This window comes from Homo sapiens, chromosome 4 (assembly GCF_000001405.40).
Source record: "Homo sapiens chromosome 4, GRCh38.p14 Primary Assembly".
NCBI lineage: Eukaryota > Metazoa > Chordata > Mammalia > Primates > Hominidae > Homo > Homo sapiens.
The window spans coordinates 43,311,383-43,316,079 of record NC_000004.12 but is presented as its reverse complement, the minus strand read 5'-3'; the positions used below and the strand labels follow the sequence as shown (position 1 = coordinate 43,316,079).

Sequence of the window (4,697 nt, the reverse complement as noted above, 5' to 3'; positions counted from 1 at the left end):
TGTCTGCTTCTGTGTCCAAATTCCTCCTTTTTATAAAGACACCAGTCATATTGGATTAGGACCTATCCTAACAACCTCATTTGTAATTGGATTATCTTTGTAAAGACCCTATTTCCAACTAAGGTAGCATTCTGAAGTACTGGAGATAAAGGACTTTAACAGACCTTTTTTGGGCAAACACAATTCAACATATACCATAGACTGAGCACAAACAGCATATTTATTTTTAATTTAAAATAAAAGATAACGCGAGGGAGATAAATACTCCAAGGGGTTTTCATCATCAAGATCCTGCATTATATTTTAACATACCAAATGGAAATGCTTGAGTCTTTCCGTGAATAATATTAGATCAATGCAAAAGTTAATTGCTGTTTCTGCAATTACTTTTAATGACAAAAAGTATGATTTAAAGAATTAGGTATGTCTTCAATGTCAGTACAGAAAGTATTTACCTCACTTCTGTGAGCATTATTCTGAAATTATCAAGTTATTGAAAATGAGCTAAAATTGACAAAGTGAATTTAACAAAGTTAAGTGAAAATTATGCACTCATAATCCAAAAATCAACTACAAAAATGTGTGAGCTGAGTGACAGAAAGCAGTTATAGCTATTTTGAAAAGAACTTAAAATTTCTGCAACTACAAATTCAGTATAAGACAACAGGGTCTGGTAAATACAATGTTTTAAATAAATGCACATTAAACTAACGCATTAAAAATATTAGGGCATAACATTGGAACTGAGTGTCAACAACTATGTATTACATCAAAAATTGGGTACCACCTCTATTCCCATGTCTCTGTTGTATGCTACAGAGAATGCAAAGTGGAGGAAGACTGATATTTACCCAAAGAGATAATAATCATTGTGGGATAGAGTGGGGTGCTGGGAAGTAGAGTGAGGTGTCAAGTACACAGTAGTAAGAATACAAGGTAGAATTAGGATGCATAGTGTAAGAGAGAAGAAAGTGCCATGTGAATTTAAAAGAATGCATTAATAAGGCAATTTGGAAAAAATTAGGATATATTGTATGAAAGACCTCTGTGCATAGAACTCACTTATTGCTAAAAGGTTTCCTTTACCCTAAAATAAATTAGCCCACCTCCTAATTCTTTTTTACAGTACTATAGCATCATATATGTATTTTTAAACAAATAGTCATTGAAATATTATTTGAGTACTTCCTATGTGCTGTGATTAAAACAGTAGTTAATGTGACAGAAACATATTTTGGTGAGAAAGAATAATATTAAACAAGCATTTCTAACTGTAATGAATATGCAGGACATTTTGAGGAAAGGAACAGGAAGACATCATCCAGTGTGAGGTAACAACAGGCTTCACCAACAAGTGGAGTAATAGTGATTAAGTGGTAGGATAAACTCCTGAAAGTCTTAATAAAAATTCGCTTGGAGTGGTGTTACTGGGAATAAGTAACCAGGAAGGATGAGATGATCACAGAGGGGAAGGTCTGGACTTGGTTGTGACAATGGAAGTGAATATTTGAAGTAGGGAATTATTCAGGGTCCCTTCAGGAAACAGAAGGAATACTAAAATTAAATAACTTTAAACTAATTAGTTGCAAAAACTAATACAGGAACTATTTACGAGGTATAGGTAGGTTTTAGGGAAACCAACAACAAGTAGTACAGTATCTGAGGACTAGAAACAGAGGGAAGCTATTATCACACTGTGCCTGGAGGAACAAAGAGACAGATATCTATATGAAGATGGCTGAGTAAAAGGATCTTCAGTCATCAATAGAGGAATAAAGCCAACCTTAGAGGAATAACACCAACATAAAGTGACCCCATAGAGTAGGAACCAGAGGAATTAGAACTCCACCTTCCTCTTCTCTGATCTACTGTATTAGTCTGTTCTCATGATGGTAATAAAGACATACCTGAGACTGGGTAATTTATAAAGGAAAGAGGTTTAGTTGACTCATAGTTCCACATGGCTGAGGAGGCCTCACAATCATGGTGGAAGGTAAATGAAGAGCAAAGTCTCCTCATACATGGTGGCAGCCAAGAGAGCACATGTGCAAGGAAACTCCCCTTTTTAAAACCATTAGATCTCGTGAGATTTATTCATTATCATGAGAACAACATGGGAAAGACACATCCCCATGATTCAATTACCTCCCAGCAGGTCCCTCCCACATTATGTGGGTATTATTACAATTCAAGGTGAGATTTGGGTGGGGACACAGCCAAACCACATTATTCCACAATGGTCCCTCCCAAATATCATTTCCTCACATTTCAAAACTAATCATGCTTTCCTAACAGTCCTCCAAAGGCTTAACTGATTTCAGCATTAACTCAAAAGTTCATAGTCCCAAGTCTCATCTGAGACAAGGCAAGTCCCTTCTGCTTATGAGCCTGTAAAATCAAAAGTAAGTTAGTTACTTTCTAGATACAATGGAAATACAGACATTGGGTAAACACACCCATTCCAATTGGGAAAAATTGGCCAAAATGAAGGGGATACAGGCTCCATACAAGTCTGAAATCCAATGGGGTAGTCAAATATTAAAGCTCCAAAATGACCTCCTTTGACTCCATGTCTCACATCCAGGTCACAGTAATGCAATAGGTGGGTTCCTATGGTCTTGGACAACTCCACCCCTGTTGCTTTGCAGTGTACAGCCCCCCTTCTGGCTGCTTTCACAGGCTGGCATTGAGTGTCTGTAGCTTTTCCAGGCACACAGTGCAAGTGGATCTGCCATTCTGGGGTTTGGAGGACAGTGACCCTCTTCTCACAGGCCCACTAGGCAGTGCTCCAGTGGGGACCATGTCTGGGGGCTTGCACCCCACATTTCTCTTCTGCACTACCCTAGCAGAGGCTTTCTATGAGGGCTCCACCCCTGCAGCACACCTCTGTCTGGACATCCAGGCATTTTCATACATTCTCTGAAATGTAGGCAGAGGTTCACAAACCTCAGTTGTTGTCTTCTGTGCACCTGCAGGCTCAATACCATGTGAAAGCTGCCAATGCTTAAGGCTTGCTCCCTCTGAAGCCATGGCCCAAGCTGTACCAAGGCCCCTTTTAGCCACAGCTGAAGCAGCTGGGACACAGGGCACCAAGTCCTTAGGCTACACACAGCAGGGGGGCCCTGGACGGAGCCCGGGAAACCATATTTTCCTCCTGACCTCTAGGCCTGTGATGGGAGGGGCTGCCACAGAGGTCTCTGGGTTGCCCTGGAGACATTTTCTCCATTGTCTTGGTGATTAACATTTGGCTCCTCATTACTTATGTAAATTTCTGAAGCCAGCTTGAATTTCTCCTTAGAAAATGGGTTTTTCTTTTCTATTGCATGGTCAGGCTGTCAATTTTTCAAACTTTTATGTTCTGCTTCCCTTTTAAATGTTAAGTTCCAATTCCAAAAGATCCAATTCCATCTTTGTGAATACATAAAACTGCTTCTAACAGTATTCAAGTCAACTTTTGAACATTTTGCTGTCTAGAAATTTCTTCTGACAGATGCTCTAAATCATCTCTCTCAAGTTCAACATTCCACAACTCTCTAGGGCAGGGGTAAAATACCACCAGTCTTTTTGCTAAAACATAGCAAGAGTCACCTTTGCTTCAGTTCCCAACAAGTTCCTCATCTCTGTCTGAGACCACCTCACCCTGGACTTTATTGTCCATATCATTATCAGCATTTTGGTCAAAGCCATTTAACAAGTCTGTAGGAAGTTCCAAACTTTCCCACATCTTCCTGTCTTCTTCTAAGCCCTCCAAACTGTTCCAACCTCTGCCTGTTACCCAGTTCTAAAGTCACTTTCACATTTTCAGGTATTTTTACAGTAGCATCTGACTCTACTGGTACTAATTTACTATATTAGTCTGTTCTCACACTGTTAATAAAGACATATCCAAGACTGGATAATTTATAAAGGAGAGAGGTTTAATTTACTCACAGTTCCACATGGCTGTGGAGACCTCACAATCATGGTGTTAGGTTAATGAGGAACAAAGCCTCGTCTTCCATGGCAGCAGGCAAGAGAGCACGTGTGTAGCAGAACTCCCCTTTATAAAACCATCAGATCTCATCAGCCTTGTTGACTATTACAAGGAAAACATAGTAAAACCTGCCCTCATGATTCAATTACCTTCCACCAGGTCCCTCCCAAGACATGTGAGAATTATTACAATTCAAGGTGAGATTTGGATGAGGACACAGCCAAACCATATCATCTCCTGTCAATGCCTGCTGTCTTCCAAAAAGCAAAGGAACCCATGGATGCAGTTCATATTGATTCACCTCCTAGGGTACAGAAAATTGGACAATGATGAAGAGTGACTGTGGAGGGACAGTGATCTGTCCACTATGAAGTAATAGAAGAAAAGATGTTTTGCTGTGTAGAGATCAATATTCTTGAAAAATGCAGGCACTAGATAAGGAAGATGAGAGATAACTGATGTTAAAGGACTTTACACAGTGCCTCAAGCACAGTAAGTGCTCAATTAGTGTAACCTATTGTTATTAACATTATAATTGTTATTATCATTTTAAAATAAGATTGCCATTGCTGGAAATGAGACATTAAAGCAACTAGACATGTCATCTGGCTGGATGTCTCCCAGGATGTTATCAGGGATTTAAGTAGATATAAAGCCTGATTGTGGAGCTAAAGTTTCCAGTGAATGAAGAAATATTCACAGAACAGAGTAGGTAACCAAAATG

General features: G+C 39.3%; 1 long non-coding RNA gene across 1 annotated transcript in view; it reads left to right on the top strand.

Moving 5' to 3' along the window:
• Positions 1 to 4,697, top strand: part of LOC105374434 (uncharacterized) — a 33,835-nt gene that overhangs the window by 14,617 nt on the left and 14,521 nt on the right. The window lies entirely within an intron of this gene.